The following is a 21,459-nucleotide window of genomic DNA, read 5'->3' as shown; positions in this document are numbered from 1 at the left end:
AATATCAAAAAAGTAAAAAAAAAAATCACAACATACCTACATTTTGGTTCTAAAGTTTATTTTTTAACAGCTTTATTGAGATATGATTCACATATCATAAATTTCACCTGTTTAAAGTATACAATTTGTGGTATATTACATCAGTTTTTAAAAATTGTAGCGAAATATATATAACAAAATTTGACATTTTAACTATTTTTAAGTGTACAATTCAGTAGTGTTAATTGCATTCACAATTTTCGGAACCCTTCACTATTTCCAAAACCTTTTCATTACTTCAGACAAACTCTGTGACCATTAAGCAGTAATTCTCCCTTCCACTGTCTTCCCAGCCCCTGGTAACCTTTAATCTACTTTTTGTCTCTATGAATTTGCCTATTCTGGATAGTTTATAAAAGTGGAACTGTATAATATTTGTCCTTTTGTGACTGGCCTATTTCACTTATGTTGTCAAGATACACTCATTTGTTAGCATGTATCAGAATTTCATTTGTTTTTATGACAATACTGTTCAATTATACATATATGCCACATTTTGTTTATTCATCTAATGATGGGCACTTGAGTTATTTTCACCTTTTGGTTATTGTGAGTAATTCTATAATAAACACTGGCATGCAAGTATCTGTCCAAATCACTGCTTTCAGTTACTTGGGATATATACCTAAGGGTGGAATTGCTGAGTCATATGGTAATTCTATGTTAGCTTTCTGAGGAACCACCAAACTGGTTTTCGTAGTGCCTGCACCGTTTTATATTCTCATCAGTAATGTGTGAGTTGCAATTTCTTTACATCCTCATCAACACTTGTTACTTTTTGTTTTGTGGTTTTTTTAATAGCCATCCTAGTAGACCTGAAGTATCTCATTATTTTTATATCTCTTTCCCTAGTGACTGATGATGTTGAGCACCTTTTCATGTGCTTACATTATTTGAAAATCAGAGTGTATTTTCCCCTGGAAATACTGTTGAATTTCAGCTGAGTATTTTTTAATCAAGTATAATTTCCTAATATAAAATTCTAATTCATACATATTTTAAAGCATAATGGGAACAGTAAATCCGGAATTCACCATCTAATTTAGGAAATAAAACATCACTAATATGATAAAACCTACCTGTGCCCCTGCAGATAGGTTTTAATTATTTCATATAAAAAGCCTGAAGATGGGCATTTCCAAGGTTGGTATAGCAACCTTAGGCCTGTGGTGTCTTCGGTATACTCTTGGTTTCACCTTCCTGATTATAATATGTCCAAACCAGTAAAGGGATTGTATTATTCAGTCGTGTGGGGTTTTGTTTATTTTGTTTCGTTTTTTTGAGGAAAGGAAGGTAGCAAAGATGCTTTGTCCTTGATAAGGTTTGTCTGTCTCTAGAAAATGACAATAAAATTTCCCTTCATTTACCAGAGGTTAGAATGGGGTTATACTCTCACCTCAGCAAAGGGGCATGGGATTGCAATAACTTGTTTAGGTTGGTTATGGTTCATCCCTTTGAGACTGGAGAAAGGGCCTGCCTTCTCTAAGACAAAAGGATACCTGCCTTTTAAACTTCTAAGTAGGGGCAGTGATTGCTTTGAAGGCAATAAAGTGTGCAACATCAGCTTTTCATGAGTATGTGTATTTCCTGATAAGCTCTTATAATACTTTTAAATTTCCACGTTTTTTTTCTGTTTTGGTTTCATTTCTGTTTTATATAACACAGGTTTTTTGCTTTTATATAAAATTAGATTTTTTCCTTTGATTTGTAGGCTTAGAATCTCTTTATCTCGTAGTTTTAGAAAAACCATTTATATTTTGTCTAGCTTTCTTTGTAGTTTGATAACATAAAAATTATCAGTAGGTAGTTCTCACTGATAGAATGTCAGGTTTTATATAAAATTTCCAAGATACTCAATTTTTTTTAATTTTTAGGGAACCTAGAAAAGTTGTTCTTCATCGTGGCTCAACGGGCCTTGGTTTCAACATTGTAGGAGGAGAAGATGGAGAAGGAATATTTATTTCCTTTATCTTAGCCGGAGGACCTGCTGATCTAAGTGGAGAGCTCAGAAAAGGAGATCGTATTATATCGGTAAGACACGTTAGTCAAGATCACGTTTTTGTTATTTTCACTGGACCTATTTTTAAAGCAAGGTCTTCTGTTTTTTTATATCCTAAAGTAATGGGGATATCTTGGTTATCTTCTTAACATTTTACAGCTTAATTGTAGAATTGTAGTGTCAGAGAACATATTATATAATAGGTGTTCTTTTATAGAAAGGGGTCAGTTTTTATAAATGTGCTTGAAGAAATTATGTGTTCTCTATTTATTGACTGGAAAGTTTGCTATGTGTCTATTAACTCAAGTTTGTTACTTGTGTACTTCTTTATACTTTAATCTGTTACCTTCTTGATCTATTGAGGTTTTGAAAGCTATCCAAATATGATTTTTTTAAAGCTACCCAAACATGGGTTCAACAGTTGGTCCTCATAGCATTAGGTTTTTTTAGTATGTCTTTTGAAATTGTATTATTGGGTACACATAGTTTTATAGTTGTTATTATGTAATGAACATCTTGATTTATAATAGTGGTTTTACCCTAGAATCTATATTGTCTGCTATTAATGTGGCTGATTTTTTTTTTTTGGCTTGATATTTGTGTCATCTTTTCTCCTCTTCTTACTTTCAATTTGTGTGCTTATGTTGTTACCCATACACAATTTTTGTCTAAAACTTACCTATAGTTCTACTGTGACACACAGACTTTGGGAAACTTTAATTCTAATCATGCCATTTCTAGTATTTTACTTCTGTTTCATGTTTATACCCATAAATTGTAATTTTTATTTTTGTTTATTAAAAGTTAATCCACAGGTCATACAATTTTTGTTTACCGTCCCATCTTGTATCTTCCCTCTTCTGTGTTTCTCAGTGGACCACTAACAGCATTTGGATTGTACAGTTATTTGTTGTATAGGACTGTCTTGCTCTTCATAGAAAATTTCCCTTTTTTTTTTTTTTTTTTTTTTTCCTTGAGATGGAGTCTCGCTCTGTTGCCCAGGCTGGATGGAGTGCAGTGGCGCGATCTTGGCTCACTGCAAGCTCCGCCTCCCGGGTTCATGCCATTCTCCTGCCTCAGCTTCCCTAGTAGCTGGGACTACAGGCACCCGCCACCACGCCTGGCTAATTTTTTTGTATTTTTAGAGACGGGGTTTCACCTTGTTAACCAGGATGGTCTCGATCTCCTGACCTCGTGATCCTCCCACCTCGGCCTCCCAAAGTGCCGGGACTACAGGCGTGAGCCACTGCACCTGGCCGAAAATTTCCCTTTTTTAAAAGCTTTCATATACATGCTACATGCTAGTAAAACTCCCTAGTCATTGTAAAAAGCAAAAATGCCCTTCAGATATCTAAATGCACCTTAGTGTGCAAGCCCTTGATTTGTGCTTTCAGCAATGGTTCCTTAATCGTAAATATTCTAGACTTTATCTGAAAGTATCTTTATTTTATTTCACTTTAAAAGTTAGTTCAATCTAGAATTACACAGGTTGATAGCTGTTACCTCTCAGTATTTTGAAGATACTGTTTTATGTTGTCTGGCGTGTTGTTTCTATTTAACGAAAGAAGTCTACTCTGTCTTGTTCGTAGGTGACTTGTGGGGGTTTGCTGGCTGCTTGTAAGATGCTTTGTGTTTGATGTGCTGCAGTTTCACTAAAATGTGAAACTTTGTCGATGTCTAGCATATTATTTATTGTGTTTGGGATTCATTATGCCTACTGAGTCAGAGGAGTCATGTCTTTCATCAATTCTAAAAACTTCTCTCATCAATTCTGAAGACTTAGCCATTGTCTTTTCAAATTTTGCCTTTCCCATGTTGTATGTACTCTGTCCCTAAACTCCTATGAGTGGATGTGAATCTGTTTTTCATGTCTGTTAACCCCAATTTCATATTTACAGCTCTGTCTCCTTGTAATTCAAGTTTATAAATTTTCTTTTCTTTTTTCTTTCTTTTATTTTTTAAGAGACAGGGCTTCAGTGCATTGCCTAGGCTGGAGTACAGTGGCTATTCACAGGCACAATCATAGAGCACTATTATAGCCTCAAACTTACGGGCTCAAACGATATTCCTGCCTGAGCCTCCCAAGAAGCTGAAACTGTAGCAGCTTCAATTTTCTTATCTATATCTAATCTGAAACTACATCTTATCTATACCTTACCTATAACTGTATCTTAACTATATCTTATCTATATCTAATCTGAAACTATAGCAGCTTAAATTTTCTTTATCTAATCTTAAAAGCTACGATTTTAAGATACAGAAATTGTCGGCTTGGTTCAAAAAAGCAAGACCAAACTATATACTGTTTATCAGAAATTTACTTTAAATATAAAGGTTCATGGGTTGTAAGTAAAAGTGAAAAAAGGTACACTATGCAAATAGCATACTAAAGCTACTGTCTTAATATGAGACAAAATAGAATTTAAGACAAATAATGTTATTATACATAGATTTCATAATTATAAAAGCAGCGAGAAAGATAAAAGTGTCATTTCATCAAGAAGACATACCTAGTAATACTTTCAAAATACATGAAGTATAAATTATCAGAACTAAGGAAGGAAATGGACAAATCTACAGTCACATTTGGAGATTTAAATGCCCTCTTCTTTAATTGATAGAACAAGTAGACACAAGGAAAAGAAGAAGAATCTCATTTCTTACTTCATGTTGTATAGAAAAATTAACTTGAAATGGACCATAGAACTAAACTTCTAAAAGAAAACATACAAGAAAATCTTAGTAAATATGGATTAGACAAATTTCTTAAATAGTACCAGAGGGCCACCAAGTCAGTTCAATAGAGAAGGGAAAATCTTTTTAACAAATGGTGCTATAATACCTAGATATCTGTATATAAAATTATAAACCTAAACCAGTCTTACTCCAGACATAAAATTTAATTCTAGATGGATTATAGATCTAAATATAAAACTCAGAACCATAATCTTCCTAGAAGAAAATATCAGAGACTATGTTCACAGGCCTAGAGTAGGTAACAGTTCCTTGGACAAAATGCATAAAACACTAACCATAAAGAAGATGACATTAAGAAACCAAATACGCTGGGTGACGTGACTCTTGCTTATAATCCCAGTAACTCAGGAGGCTGAGGCAGGTGGATCGCCTGAGGCCAGGCGTTTGAGACCAGCCTGATCAATATAGCAAGACCCCATCTTTAAAAAAAAAATTTTTTTTTAATTAGCCAGACATAGTAGTGGGCACTTGTAGTCCCAGCAACTTGGGAGGCTAAGGCAGGAGGATCACTTGAGCTTAGGTGTTTGAAGCTACAGTGAGTGAGCTTTGATCCCACCACTGCACTCCAGCCTGGGCAACAGAGCAACACCCTGTCTCAAAAAAAAAGAAAGAAAAAAACCAAATAGGCAAGCCACACAGTGGTAAAAAATATTCTCAGCACATACATGACATACTACTTGTATCCACAATATATAAATATCTCCTACAAATCAACAATAAAAAGATGAATAACCCAATTAAAAATGCACCAAAGACTTGAGCAGGTACAGCACAAAAGATATGTGAATGGCCAGTAAGCACATGAAAAGGTGCTTAACATTAGGCATCAGAGAAGTGCACAAACCGCAGTGAATGAAGAGGTTTGTAGGGAGTTGAATAAGAGTGATGTAATTGTTCTATATTTTGATTGTGGGTGGCTGCACGAAATTCACATTTGCCAAAACTTAACTATACACTAAAGAAGATTGATTATGCCTAGATAAAAATAGGTATTCTTGAAGTCGTAATGAAATACTATATCCCACTTAGTTGAACAACAAAAGAAAAAAATAACAACATTCATTGATGAGGATGTGGAGCAGCTACAACCCTCATTCACTACTAGTGGACGTGTAAATGGTATACCACTACAAGAACTTTTGGGAAGGTTTTTAAGAAGTTAAACATACATCTAATCTTATCACCCAGGTTTTACCCAGGACAAATGAAAGCATACATCAACAAAAACACTTTGACAAGAACATTCTTAACAACCTTATTCATAATAATCTAGACCTTGAAATGACCCAGGTTTCCATCAGCAGGACAATTGCTAAATTGTGGTATGTTTACACAATATAATACTACTCAGCAATTAAAAGGAACAACTACTGAAACACAAAACAAGTATGTTGAGCAAAACAGATAACAAAAATACAATCTATATAATTCCAGTTACATGATAATCAAGAGCAGGTGACACTAACTTGTGGTGCTGTAAGTCAGAAAGTGGTTGCCAGTGATTGGGACTGACTATAGAAGTGCACAGTTGAACATCGGTGGAAAAGATACATGTCTTGTCTGGGGTAGTGGTTTCATGATTTTTATGGTTAGCAAAATCCTTTCAGCTGAGCTGTTCAAATTTCTACATTTCATTGTAAAATATACTGTAATTTATTTAAGTTACAGTATGATAAGGAAAACTTAGTGGTAGGGAATGGACTTAAAAGATTAATATTGTTGAACATATTACCTAGTTATTTAGGGAAATAAAATTAGCTTAGAGCCTCACTTCACACTTTGTGTCCAAATAAATTTTCGTTTAGCCTAGAGTTCAGTAATAGATGTTTTTAAATTGTCCCTTTGGAACCACTTTAGATAGGTCATTGATACAGTGCTAAAGTGTGTGAGACCAACCAACTCAACCTAGTTCACCCAGAACATTCATGGTTTTAGAACTGAATGCCCCATGTCTGGAAACCCTTTGGTCTTGATTCTAAAACTGGAAGTCTCAGCTAGTCCAGGGAAGTAGCTCACCCTAATGTGAGTGCAGTTAAATACAGCATTATGTTTAGCAATATGCATCAGTAACCTTAAAATTTTAATGCTTACTGAACTTCTCTAGGGAAATGCCCTAAAAGCACTAGGAAATAGTAGACCGATCAATAAACTTAAAAGGAAAATTGGAGGAGTGAATTCTCCATAAGGCCTTTGAAAACCTCCGTGTATCCTTGGAACCAGAAGGCCACACACATGTTCAGGGCTGTGCGCATGCTCAGGAAAGACTAGAAAAGGCCTTAAACTCTCACCTCTACCTGATCATGAGCCTCTGTGCAAGCGATTTAAGGCAGTTGTTAATTGCTTATCTGAGTGTTAAAGGTGGGCCCCAAAATGCACATATAGCCCTTGGAAAAGAGTGGAAGATTTGTAAGTTTCAGGTATTTAAGGAAATATGTATTCAGTCATTAACCACTAAGCTAACCAGACAGAGACCTCAGTGGCCACACACAACAAAGAATACGGACTTTATAACATTAAGAAAAGTCACTAACAGACAGCAATGACAAGCGTAGATAAGAGGACAGTTCTGCTATCTGGAGTTGCCGTATTATATTTATTTTAAATGCCTATTTTTCGTCATAAAATTTTGAGACAAGCGGAAAGAAAAGTATGGCCCATATACAGGAGAAAAACGCAATCAATGGATATCGTTCCTAGGGAAGGTCAGACATTGAACATGCTAAACAAAGACATTAAACCAGGTATTTTAAATACGTTCAAGGAATAAAAGAAAACCATCCTGTAGACTGACATGAAAGTAAAGGAACAATATCTCACCATGTAAAAAATATCAATAAAGAGTTAGAAATTATATGTAAGAACCAAATAGAAATTCTGGAGTTGGAAAGTACAGTAACTTAAATGAAAAATTCTCTAGACAAGGTCAACAGCAGATTTGAGCTGGCAGAAGAAAGAATCAGCAAACTTGAAGATGGGTCAATTGAGATTTTGATGCTGAAGAACTGAACAATAACAAAGAAAGAAAGAATGAAGAAAAATTAACAGCTTCAGAGACCTATGGGATACTATCAAATTTACCAACATAATGGGAGTATGTGAAAGATGGGAAAGAGAGAAAAAAGAAGAAAGAATATTTGAATAAATACTCGCCCAAAAACTTCTAGAACTTGATTAAAACCATTAATCCAAGAACCTCAGTGAACTCCAAGTTAAATTAATTTAAAGAGATCTACAACATAGACACATTACAATCGAACTGTCTAAAGCCGAAGGCAGAATATTGAAAGTAGCAAAAAGAAATGACTCACCACGTGCAAGGGATCCTCAACAAGGTTAATAGCTGATTTCTCATCAGAAACCATGGAGGTCAGAAAGCAGTGAAATAACAAATTCAAAATTCTGAAAAGAAAAAAACTTTGTTGACTAGAACTCTATATCCAGCAAAACTATCTTTTGAAAATAAAGAAGAAATCAGGACATTGCCAGATAAACAAAAGCTGAAGGAGTTCATCTCTCAAAAACCTGCCCTATAGGAAATAAGAGAATCCTTCAGACTAAAATGAAAGGAAACTAGAGAGTAACTCAAATCCACATGAAGAAATAAAGAGCCTAAGTAAAGGCAACTACACAGGTAAATATAAAACAACATAAGGGTATTGTTTTATATGCAACTCTTTTTTTCTCCAACCTGATTTTAAAAACAACTGAATAAAGCAATAATTACAAATTTGATGTGCACACATCGTATAAACATAAAATTAATATGACAACACCACAAGGCGGGTAAAGAAACTAGGTTCTTATAAAATGTTTGTTTGTTTACTTATTTATTTTTAGAGGCAGCATCTCACTCTGTCCCCCAGGCTGGAGTGCAGTAGCACAGTCATAGCTCACTGCAGCCTCAAACTTACTCAGGCAATCCTCGTGCCTCAGCCTCCCGAGTAGCTGGGCTGCAGGTATGCACCACTACACCTGGCTGAATTGTTTTCTTTATTTTTTTAGAGATAAGGGTCTCACTGTGATGCCTAGCCAGCCCTCAAAGTGTTGTACTCAAGTGATGCTCCTGCTTCAGTCCTTTTGCCTGAGCCACCTGAGTCACTGGGATTACAGTCTAGAACCACCACATCTGGCTTTAAATTTTTACTTATAATCCAAGATAACCACTAAGAAAATGACTAACAAATATATGTAGTAAAATTAATGACATGGGAATTAAAATGGTACACTAGGAAATATCTATTTAATATAAAAATAATGCAGTAATTGAGGAATAGAGAAAGAAAAGACATAGAACAAATAACCAAATTAAGTAAATTCTACATTATCAGTAATTATATTAAATATAAACAGATTAAGCACTCCAGTTAAAAGGCCAAAGATGTTGATAAAGTAGATTAGAAAACAGAATCCAACTACACAGGGTCTACAAGAGAGACACTTTAGACTCAAAGACACAAAAAGGTTGAAAGTAAACGGGTGGAAAAGATGCATTACACAAAAAGTAACCAAAAGACACCTACTGTGGCTGTACTAATATGACTAATATCAAAGGACGCTTGAAGAAAAACATTATTACTAAAGGCGAAAGACATTTATAGTATATCATTATGTAGTCATAGATGGTATATATTTTATAGTTATATACTCTAATTACCAATACATTTCTAGAAAGACATAAACTACTGAAACTAACTCAAGAAGAAATAGAGAATTTTAATAGATTTAAAACAAGGAAATTGAATTAGTAATCAAAAACTAACAAAACACAAAAATCCCAGGACCAGATGGCTGCACTGGTACATTCTGCCAAACATTTAAAGAATTAACACCAATCATTCACAAACTCTTCCCCAAAAAGGAATAAGCATGAGGAATGCTTTCCAGCTCATTCTGTGTGGCCAGTATTATCCTTATACCAAACCAAAGACATCACAAGAAGAAAAAATTACAAACCAATATCCCATATGAATATAGATGTAAAAATCAACAAAATAACAACCTGGATCCAACAGCATGAACAAGGATGATGTACCATAACCAAATGGAATTTATTCAAGGAATGCATGGTTAGTTCAACATAGAAAAACCAATCAAAGTAAGACACCATCTTAATAAAGGACATAAAGCACATGATATCTCAGTAGACACAGAAAAAGCAATTGTCATAAACCAACAGCTTTTCATGATAAGAACACTAAATAGACTAGGAATAAAAGGGAACTTCAACCTGTTAAAGGGTATCTCTGGAAACCCTATAGCTGACATCATACTAAATGGTGAGAGACTGAAAGCTTTCCCTCTAAAATCAGGAACAAGACAAGGGTATCTGCTCTTCCTACTTCTATTCAACATTGTCCTGGAGGTTCTAGAAATTAGGCAAGATTAAAAAAAAAAAAAGGCTACCAGAATAAAAAGCAAGAAAACTATTTCTGTTTGCAGATGACATAATCTTGTATAGAAAAAATCTTAAGAAATACAACAACAGACTGTCAAGCTAATAAATGAGTTCAGTTAAATTTGCAGGATAGACAAAGAAAACATTGATTTATAATACTATCAAAAAGAATAAAATACTTAAGTATAAATTTAAGGACATGGATCAACAAAAGTGGTATATCCTTTTTTTTTTGGGTTTGGTTTTTTTGTTTTTTGTTCTTGAGACAGAGTCTTGCTCTGTCGCCCAGGCTGGAGTGCAGTGGCGCAATCTCTGTTCACTGCAAGCTCCGCCTCCCAGCTTCACGCCATTCTCCTGCCTCAGCCTCCCAAGTAGCTGGGACTACAGGTGCCTGCCACCACGCCCGGCTAATTTTTTTGTATTTTTAGTAGAGACAGGGTTTCACCATGTTACCCAGGAAGGTCTCGATCTCCTGACCTCGTGATCTGCCTGCCTTGGCCTCCCAAAGTGCTGGGATTACAGGCGTGAGCCACCACACCTGGCCAGTATATCCATTTTTAATGGATTTTAGTGGCGCATTATTTAGCGCCACTAAATATAAGGAATGAAGTACTGATACATGCTCCAAGGGTGAACCTGGAAAATAAGTGAAAGAAGCCAAGCACAGATGGCTACATATTATATATCCCGTTTATTTGAAATATACCGAATAGGTATATATAGGTATATGTACAGTATGGTCAGAAAGTAGCTTCGTAGTTGCCAGGGATGGAGAGGAGACACAGGAGTGACTGTCAGTGGATACAGAGTTTCTTTTTGGGGTAATGAAAATATTTTGGAATTAGGTGGTAATGATGGTTGCACAGACTTGCAAATATACCAAAAACCACTAAACTATATGCTTTAAAAATGTGAATTCTATGGTATGCGAATTATTTCTCCATTTTTAAAAATGTCGGTGTAAAAGAAAAAAAGTGACTCTAAGGCTATTTATACAAGTATCTCTCTCAGTACTGGAATTTCTTCTAAAATATCCTTAATAATGTATCTTCAATTGAAATGTTCAGTGATAGTCTGGAAAGTCTTTAATATGTAGTTTTGTTCAACAAATTATGCTCTTAAAAGAGTTTGGTGCACAGAAATAATTCATTAACATTCTTAATCTTTTCTACAATAATCTGTGAAAAACCTGTCTTTCTTTATATTTCTTGCCTGATATGTTCTCCCAGGAATTGGGAGGATTTTCTTTATGCACTAAGTAGAACTGTTTATACATTGTATTGAGTTTTATATGGCCATCATCAGCTGGAGATACTAATAACCACATTGTTTACATTTGTTTATGTTATGGATTTTAGATCTTGGTTTTCATTGAGGGGGGTGGGGGGGGCTGGCTGGAGACAGAGCGTCCCTCTCTCTGTCACCCAGGCTGGAGTACAGTGATGTGATCTCAGCTCACTGTAACTTCCGCCTCCCAGGTTCAAGTGATTCTCATGCCTCAGCCTCCTGAGTAGCTGGGACTACAGGCACACACCACCATGCCCGGCTAATTTTTGTATTTTTAGTAGAGACAGGTGTTTGCCATGTTGGCCAGGCTGGTCTGAGACTCCTGGCCTCAAGTGAACCACCCACCTCAGCTTCCCAAAGTGCTGGGATAACAGGTGTGAGCCACCATGCCCAGCCTCAAGGGGTATGTATTTAAATTTAGTTGCATAATGGTTTCTTTTTAGATAATATAAAACATCAGATCTTTATATGGTTAAAATGTTCTTTATGTAAATTTATGATCCCAAGAATTTCTGGGCTCATAGTCAAATTTTTTAAAAGTGATATGTGATCTTTAACAGATTTTAGATTAGTTCTCAACAAAACAAGTTTTTGTGTAAAAATTGCATGATGATCGTTCCTTTCCAAAAATTTTCAGTGAAGGTCCTGAACATTGCCATATTCTATTCATTGTTGCTTCTTAATTTTTTTTAATTCGGTATTTAAAGTTTATTACATTCAAGTATAATGCTTCCATGAATGTCCTCTTAAGTTTGTCTTATTGTGGAAAAGGAACAATCTCTTAAGATAATGTACCTTGCACTATATATGTATATATGCGCGCAAAGTATTGGTAACCTTTGAGAAATAAGAATTAAGTTGCCTCTTCTTCTGGAGTAGGATTGTACCTACTGGTAGAATTGGATAATTATTTCACCTAAGGAAGGGCTCTTAATTCAAAAAATAACTCCTGGTTCATTTAATTAACATTTATTCTAATTAAATCAGTCCTTGAAATCTGAGCTGTTTTAATATTTCTAAATAATAGCTTTCCTATTATACCAAAAGAATGGAAGTTTTAGTTTGTACAGGAAGAAAAATAATTGGAACTGAATTGAGCAGTAGGCGTGAGAATGTGGCAGGAGGTAAATGGATGCTACAAGCAAAATGACTTTCCCTCCCATTGCTTGAGTTCCTAGCAAAATAAAGTGTGCAAAATGATGCCACTTGATTTTTCAGGTTCTCAAATTAAGGTACATTTCTCAATGGATTGATACCCAGCCTTCTAGGGGAAAATGTTTTGGTTTTACTAACTTGACATTAAGCAAGGTGGTTTTAGTAAATAAAATAGCTTTGAATGATAATATTTTGTTTTACTACACAATATATTTTTAGTCAATCAGAACAAGAAACATTTTAGTGGTAAAGTTATTGCAACTAATTTTTTAATACATGCTTACTCAAAGAATAGACTATTGTGATTTCTAATCACAGTGATTCTTTTCTCCCAAATTAAGATTTGGTTTGATTTACAGGTAAACAGTGTTGACCTCAGAGCTGCTAGTCATGAGCAGGCAGCAGCTGCATTGAAAAATGCTGGCCAGGCTGTCACAATTGTTGCACAATATCGACCTGAAGGTAATAACATTCTTATTGTCTATAGTTATTGCTTATTTTAGTTTTTAAAATTCTTCCTCTTTAATATTTAATAATGTTTAACTTCCAAGCTAAACTTCCTTTTTTGTGCTTTTTTTCTGATTTGCTAATCCAGTATTTGTTTAGTCTGAACCTAGTTCTTTTTCCAGATCAAAAGTTGTTTGTTTTTTTGGTTTTTTTTGGTTTTTGTTTTTTGTTTGTTGAGACGGGGTTCCACTCTTACTGCCCAGGCTGGAGTGCAGTGGTGCGAACTCAGCTCACCGCAACCTCTGCCTCCCAGGTTCAAGTGATTCTCCTGCCTCAGCCTCCCAAGTAACTGGGATTACAGGCATGCACCACCATACCGGCTAATTTTTTGTATTTTTAGTAGAGATAGAGTTTCTCCATGTTGGTCAGGCTGGTCTCAAACTCCTGACCTCAGGCGATCCGCCCACCTCAGCCTCCCAAAGTGCTGTGATTACCGGTGTGAGCCACTGCACCCTGCCAAAAGTATTTTTTAATGATGTGGGAACTGGCATCCACAAGCTTAACCCACAAAACCCCCATTATGTGGGTTAATTTAACTGTTTACTTTTTTAAATCTGTTCTGTAACTGAAGACATAGCTTTTAATGTCCCTTTTACTACTTTATTGATCTGAAAAAATAATAAAAACCATAAGCAGATATAGTAATAATGCCCAAAAAAATTAGGTCACCCAGATTTTTTCTAGCTTTTGAATTAGGTTATAATTATTAATATCAAGATTTAAGACATGTTTCTAATAGCTGTTACTGCCGCTATTTAAAATAAAGAGAAGAATGCCAAGTTTGGAGTATACTGTGTGTCTAGATGGTGAAGTATGGTGGATGTGACTTTACTAAGTTCCTGGGGGAAGAAGGTGGTGATGGAGAATTTGAGGTCATGCCATAGTAAACATATGTAAGACTCTAGTGTACATCAGCATAACCACATCTCCAATAAAACCTCAGTGGAATTTAGAAAGCTTAAATACCCAAAAGAATACATAGCATATTTGTTGATGCTCATAAACAACATGATGAATAAGGAAAAGATGATGTGAGTAAAGGAGCTAAATGAGTAATTCTGTAATTTATCAACTAATTACATTTATTCTTTTTTGAAGCAGAATTTCTTTTTTAATCTAGTATGTTTTTTAGCTGATCAAAGCAGCATGTTGAGCATTGCTTGGTCTTTCTTAAGTATGGGAGGTTCTATCAATCTAGTAAAACCTTGGCCTTTTAGGCTTAGTAACTAAACAGGGGAAAATTTGTTTAATTGGGAGTAAATTCTGAATATTAATTCACATTAACCAAACAATAGAGACTAACGTATGAAGTCAGAATGTCAATTCGTTAATTTTTGTGAGAAACAAATCTGCCAATGGGACCCTATGTTGTACTTTTATCTTCTGGCCAACATATTCCACCCCGTAGGTACACTATATGGAAGCCGAGTTACAGTCACTGGTTCCTTAGTATTATAGACAGCCTCTCATTTATATGTTTATAAGGAATATAAACTTTTTAGGTATGGTTACGGGTAACTTAATATCTGCTCCCTAACCTCAAAACACACAGAACACACAAAAGCAGTAAGAAAAACAAAACATACACGCATGCTCCTACCCACACAACTTCACTTAATATTAACTAAAACTAAGAAGGCAGGTATGATACCTGGACAACCAAGTAGAGGTAAAGACTCCTTAAGCAGCTGAGGTCTTGCAGAAGCCACACGGAAAGAGGGGAAGAGTTAAAATATGGAATGTTGAGAATGTTTGTGATGGCACAAATTTAGGATATGGTATAAAATTTCACTCATAATGTGGTTTGGTTTAGAAAAGCAGAGGACCCGTATTTGGATAAAGCAGCCTGCCTCTGTAGGATCAGATAATGTGACAGTATTTGGGTTTTAAAACCTGTAAAAATGTCCTGTGCCTCTATCTTTCCTGCACCCCTCGACTTTCTGGAATAGCTACTCTAGCAAAATCTAGCAAAGTAATAAGTAATTTTTTTTGTTTGTTTTAAGATGGAGTTTCACTCTCTTGCCCAGGCTGGAGTGCAGTGGCACAATCTCGGCTCACTGTAACCTCCGCCTCCCAGGTTCAAGCCTCCCAAGTAGGTGGGATTACAGGCACCTGCCACCACGCCCGGCTTATTTTTGTATTTTTAATAGCGACGGGGTTTCACCATGTTGGCCAGACTGGTCTCCTGACCTCAGGTGATCTGCCTGCCTCGGCCTCCCAAAGTGCTGGGATTACAGGCGTGAGCCACAGCCCCCAGCCCCAGTAATAAGTAATTTAAAAGTAGCCTCACATTCATACAAAGATAATAAGAGGTGGGGAAAAGCATCAAAGCTTAGTAACAGGTTAGCTACACGCACACACAACACAAAAACATTAACACAAATCGGATTTTAAGAAGTACAAAAGGAGTCATCCGACACTCTGATAATCAGCATCTTGCAGTTAGTATCTTTCCTAAAGGCTTGGGATTCTCTGCCTTGTTGATAATCTTATATATATACATACAAGACAGACAGATAGAGACAAAGGTAAGCTTTTGGTAGAATTAAGTTTTTTATCTTTCAGGATCTATGGTTTGCCTTATTAGTCTTCCAAAAAAGTACTTTTATGGGTTTTTCAGCTTGTGTACTTTGAACTTTCTTGACTTGGATTCTGATTATGAGAAAAAATAATCTCTACAAGACATATGAAGGAACATTATCTTCTAACTCCTTTCAGTTTTATTAATTCCAAAGGCAAGGAATAATTCACTTTGGGGGGCCTTTACTGTTAATCTTTTTGGAGAATCATTATCAGAAATTAGCTGGACGTGGTGGCTCAGGCCTCTAATCCCAGCACTTTGGAAGGCCTAGGTGGGAGGATTACTTGAGCCCAGGAGTTCGAGACCAGCCTGGGCAACATAGCAAGATCTTGTCTCTGCTAAAACTTTTTTTAAAGTTTTTTAATTAGCCATGCGTGGTAGTGCGCACCCGTAGTCCCAGCCAAGGCAGGATTGCTATGATCTCACCACTGCACTTGAGCCTGGGCGACAGAGTGAGACCCCGTCTCAAAATAAAAATAAAAATAATCGAACATGGGAACTGGAAATATAATACTATACTCGTTTTGGACTCCATATCCCAAAGTTATAAAGTTTTATCACATACTTCCTATAGTTTAAGAATCTCTTGGCCAGGCGCGGTGGCTCACGCCTGTAATCCCAGCATTTTGGGAGGCCTAGGCGGGCAGATCACGAGGTCAGGAGATAGAGACCATTCTGGCTAACACGGTGAAACCCCGTCTCTACTAAAAATACAAAACCAAAATTAGCCAGGCGTGGTGGCGGGCACCTGTAGTCCCAGCTGCTCGCGAGGCTGAGGCAGGAGAATGGCGTGAACCCGGGAGGCCGAGCTTGCAGTGAGCCGAGATCACGCCACTGCACTCCAGCCTGGGCGACAGAGCGAGACTCTGTCTCAAAAAAAAAAAAAGAATCTCCTGTGATAGTATATAATAGTAAAACTGTACGCCATGCATGATACGAACCATGTTATGTTTATTCACTCTTTTAACTCCCAAGATAATCCTGTAAGTAAGCACCGTTATCCCCGTTTTACGTTGTAGTTGAATAAGCTCTTCCATAAAGAGACCAAGTAATTTGCTAGTTACACAACTGTTAAACGGTTAAGATTTCTTCTAGCCCCTTTTAAGCGAAGAAAAACCTTTTCCTCCACCCTTGTATGTTCAGTAACGGGCCTGTGAAGTAAACTGACAAAAAAAACAGATTAACATGGAAAAAAAGTTTCTTGTATATGGATGCAAGAGGCAACAGAAGAAATACTGAAGCTAGCTTGTGGATGAAGTTAAAAGCTTGTACACCTAATCTAGTAGGGAAAGGAAGGAGGGAGAAACAGCTTTTATTAGAAAAACGTACATTTCTTCAGGAAAGACAAGTTTTTAGGAGAAGAGATGGGGGATAAAGTTTGTGATGACATTTGTCTAAACTGGTATGACTGGTCTTTCCATTCTTCGGGGCCATCAGACTCCTCAGAGGGTATTTATGGTAACTTCATTTCTCGGAAGCTGCACCTTTTAGTCAGATTAGAGAAACTCCGAGAAGGCTTTTTTCCTGCATCTGTTGAATCTCAGATATCTTCAGCTTAAAATCTTTGTGGCAACTCTGGGGTTCTGGGTGGGTCTCCATACCCTGTTCTTACTCTTTCAACTACTCATTAAACTCTTGGAATCTCTCACCTCAAATATTTAATCTTATTGTTCCTCAAGAGTATTAGGCCAACTTTCAGAGCTTATATCTCAATCTTTTGTTCAGAAAGCATTAATTATATTGTAATAATACCATAAAAGAAATAAATTGGAAAGAAACTCAATATATAAGTTAAATTTATTTTCTCTTTCCCATTGGTTAGGTCTTATATTTGTGACATATTTTATTTTCGCAAGAAAAAAACTGTTTGGTGGCATAATCCCTATTTTGCAAGTGACCAGAGTCTAGAGAGGTTAGGCCATAGTCACTTAACTTTTCTGCGCTTCAAAGCTTTGATTGAAATCTTGAGTTACAAAGGTAGATTTCTAACACCCAGTGTCCTGACTTTATTTTCATTATTACTTCTTATACCAACCAAAGGGAGAAGAGGTGGAGATAATCTGGGAAGATTGCAGTGGACTAGTGGCATTTATTTGCAGACATTTGTCATTTCTTATCATTTTCAGTAGTAGATAGGTAATTAAAATTTTTTTCAGTCTCCTGCTTTCCCACTTCCCTTGCTGTATTTTTCTACGCGCCTGTGCTGCAGTTGACCCTTGAACAACACAGGTTTGAACTGCGAGTGTCCACTTACGCACGTGCTGTTCAACCAAACTGGGATAGAAAATGCCATATGCCTGTCAGATTCCACAAGGCCTCCTGTTAGACTTGAACATGCACGGGTTTTGGTATACGTGGGGTTCTGGAACTAATCCTCCGAGTATGCCAGAGAGCTATTGTACTTAAAACAACTAACTGGCCTTCTTAAAAATAGTTTCCCTTTTTCTTTAGGCCAATTAATAGTATCCATCCTCTGAGAATTGTTTCTCTTGGGTTTAATATCTGTGTTTAATGTATTTTATTACAGTTATAAATGAATGTTTTTCTTTATAGGGATTGCATGTTAAGAAGAGATTGAGGAAGTCCAATTTCCCCCATACCCCTTCCTCACTTTTTACTTCTAGTGTGGCGGTGAAAACAAAGGTTAAAATTTGAAAGGGGATATCAAATGAAAAAATCAGCTTTTAAATATCTCTCCTTGTATAAGCGTATACATACTAACTTGTAGCCAGCAGTTCAGATACGTCCTAATACGTTTCATGACAAGAAATATGGTTTGATACAGGAATTTTTGAGATGTTGAATGGAGAAAATCTCTTATGTAAAATTATAGCTTTGCTGAGTTTTGATGTAATTCTAGGAGAGGAGTGTAAATGACTTAACTGAAAAAAGGGATGAAACTCTTCCGTCAAAATAAAAATTTAAGAAAATAGGTGTAGTGGTTAGCACTTCGGGAGGCTGAGACAAGAGGATCACTTGAGCCTAAGAGTTGAAGATCCCCTGGGTAACATAGGACACCCTGTCGCTGCAAGTAATTTTAAAAATGAGCTGGGCATAGTGATGCATGCCTGTAGGCTCAGCTACTTGAGAGGCTAAGGTAGGAAGATTGCTTGAGCCCAGGAGGTCAGAGCTACTATGAGCCATGATCGTGCCACTGCACTCCAGCCTGGATGACAGAGCAAGAGCCTGTCTCCAAAAAAACCTTAAAAACAAAACAAAAATATGTTGGTGGGAGTATTTACGAAAATATACACAGGATAGGTAAAATGTGGAGACTGATAGGACTAAAAGTATCAATTGATTGAAACAAAAGGAAAAGGTAGGAATCTTAAGTAGGTAAATGAAATAGAAGGTTTAAAGGAAAAGTAACTTTAAAATGCCGAAGTATGTTTTGAACATATAGAAAGGTAGCTGTGAGGAATTGTTAAGAGTAAGGCAAAGACTTGGCCAGGCGCAATGGCTCACGCCTGTAATCCCAGCACTTTGGGAGGCCAAAGCAGGCAAATCCCTTGAAAGCAGGAGTTCAAGACCAGCCTGGCCAACTTGATGAAACTCTGTCTCTACTAACATAAAAATTAAACAGGCATGGTGGTACATACCTGTAATTTCAGCTACTGAGGAGGCTGAGGCACAAGAATCACTTGAACCCAGGAGGCAGAAGCTGCGATGAGCCGGAATTGCACCACTGCACTCCGGCCTGAGCAACAGAGCGAGGTGGGGGCGGGTGGGAAGACTCTAAGCAAAGACTATAAATATGAAGATCTGAATACAGTGAAAGAAATAGATCACAAATTTAAGAAATTATCAGGAATTGACTTAGCTCTTCAGTATCTTAAATTTTTAATATCTGAGACTATGTTAACTGCTTTGTAGTAACTTAGTTACTCATTAAGAAAGAATATTTTTCTGCATCACTAAAAAGTAATGTGTTCTTTTTACACAGAAAGCTTTTAAATTTCTAAAATGTAGACTATCTTAAATCACTAGGACTTCTATTAATCAGATCAGCAAAATTGCTAAAAACTAATAATGCTACATGAAATGTAATACACATCTTATTTAAAAAGCATTGCAGAACTTTTAAGGAATTAGCAAACAAAACATGAAGGGAAACTAGGAACTCGGAACTCAGGGCTAAGGAAGCAGAGAAGTCTCTTTTGTTTCAAGAGCAACAGCGTACGGGCTTGGGAGAGCCAGTTAAATTTTCAGATATTTTTCAAACTAAAACATAGCCTTTATTAAAAATAAAATTATACAGAAATACAAATAAATTATATTTAAAATAGTAAAATTAAAAACAAAGGTAATATTGAAAAGTCATCACTTCCTAGTTGTTTTCTAGGAAGTAAAATAATAGAAACATAAACCAGTGAGACTAACAGAAAATACAAAAAGAGGGTTGGGCGCGGTGGCTCACGCCTATAATTCCAGCACTTTGGGAGGCTGAGGTGGGCGACTCACAAGGTCAGGAGTTTGAGACCAGCCTGGTCAACACGGTGAAACCCCTGTCTCTACTAAAAATACAAAAATTAGCTGGGCGTGGTGGTGCACGCCTGTAATCCCAGCTACTCAGGAGGCTGAGGCAGGAGAATCACTTGAACCCAGGAGGCAGAGGTTGCAGTGAGCCGAGATCGCGCCACTGCACTCCAGCCTGGATGACAGAGCGAGACTCTCTCTCAAAAAAAAAAAAAAAAAAGAAAGTACAAAAAAAGATAGTAGATTTAAAACTGAATCGCCCAAAACTCCTCCTCTCCCTCAAAAAAATTAGGAAAGCCAAACCAAAATTTGTTAAAAATCTACAATAAAACTAGACAAAAAGATGAAAGATATCCTATGAACCCCAAATATAAGCTGATGTAAACAAGGTATTAACAGCTACAAGACCATCTGATATCAGCATCTGTGCAAGGGGATGCAACAGGAGAAGCCCAATGTTAACCAGTCCTCACAAGAAAATGCAGTAGGTAAATTTGAGAACACCAAGTGAACTATAAGAGTTTTTGTACAATCTGCATGTTGAGTGCAAGGAATCTACACTAAGATATGAAGGGGCCACGAGCAGTCTGGGCCCTATGACACAGTTAACCAGCTGTAGTTCCCTTTCCATTTAAAGCCCCACACTAAGGAAGAACTGCTGGGAATAAAATCCAAATTGAGTAGGATAGGGATAATAGAGCCAAAGGAAATAGAAGGTTCAGATTAATGGGGGTAAGTAAAGTTTCAGGAAATCTCACAGTGTCTGAGGTCATGTCTTTAAACACTTGAGAGAAACAACAAAATAGAGAGTTCTAGAGCTGTGAAGTTAGAAAACCTATCTTGACTCGTAACTCCTATGTAAAAGTTGGGGAAAACTAATTTCATATTAAAATGAGCAGTAGGAAAAGATCACAGTCAAATCCATGGAAACCTATTTGAAAAGTGAAAATAAGGATTAGCGTAATGTCTCCACAGTCAAGCTGTACCAGAAAGACATATAGTTTATGAAGCTAGTGTAAAATAAAATTAATATTTTGAAACAAAGAAAAATGATAGAGTATGTCGAAGAACAACATCAATAAGTTGATAGAACTCAGAAAATTAGTAGAAATAAAAACATTGTTTTAAAAACTAAATTTGACTAAAAGAGACATACTTCCTTAAACCAAGAAGGTGAAAAAGAAGAAAAATTTGTAAAGCAAAAATAGACCTTCTCTTTCTACAACTTGATCAATTTAGTCCTAAAGCCATTATGTAGAGGAG

General features: G+C 36.4%; 1 protein-coding gene across 45 annotated transcripts in view; it reads left to right on the top strand.

Annotated features, from left to right (window-relative positions):
- The window catches only part of DLG1 (discs large MAGUK scaffold protein 1), a 256,762-nt gene that overhangs the window by 181,325 nt on the left and 53,978 nt on the right, over positions 1-21,459 (top strand). For all 45 annotated transcript variants that reach the window (NR_158764.1, NR_158765.1, NR_158767.1 and 42 more), the window contains 2 exons: positions 1,914-2,070; positions 12,992-13,094. Coding sequence is in view for 39 of the 45 variants with exons in the window: in NM_001366203.1 (NP_001353132.1) it covers positions 1,914-2,070; positions 12,992-13,094 (260 nt within the window). In the remaining 6 variants the exon portion in view is untranslated. The remainder of the gene's footprint in view (positions 1-1,913; positions 2,071-12,991; positions 13,095-21,459) is intronic.

This window comes from Homo sapiens, chromosome 3 (genome assembly GCF_000001405.40).
Source record: "Homo sapiens chromosome 3, GRCh38.p14 Primary Assembly".
In the NCBI taxonomy this organism is placed as follows: Eukaryota; Metazoa; Chordata; class Mammalia; order Primates; family Hominidae; genus Homo; species Homo sapiens.
Note: the sequence above shows the minus strand (reverse complement) of the source record. Positions and strands in the feature narration are given on the sequence as shown.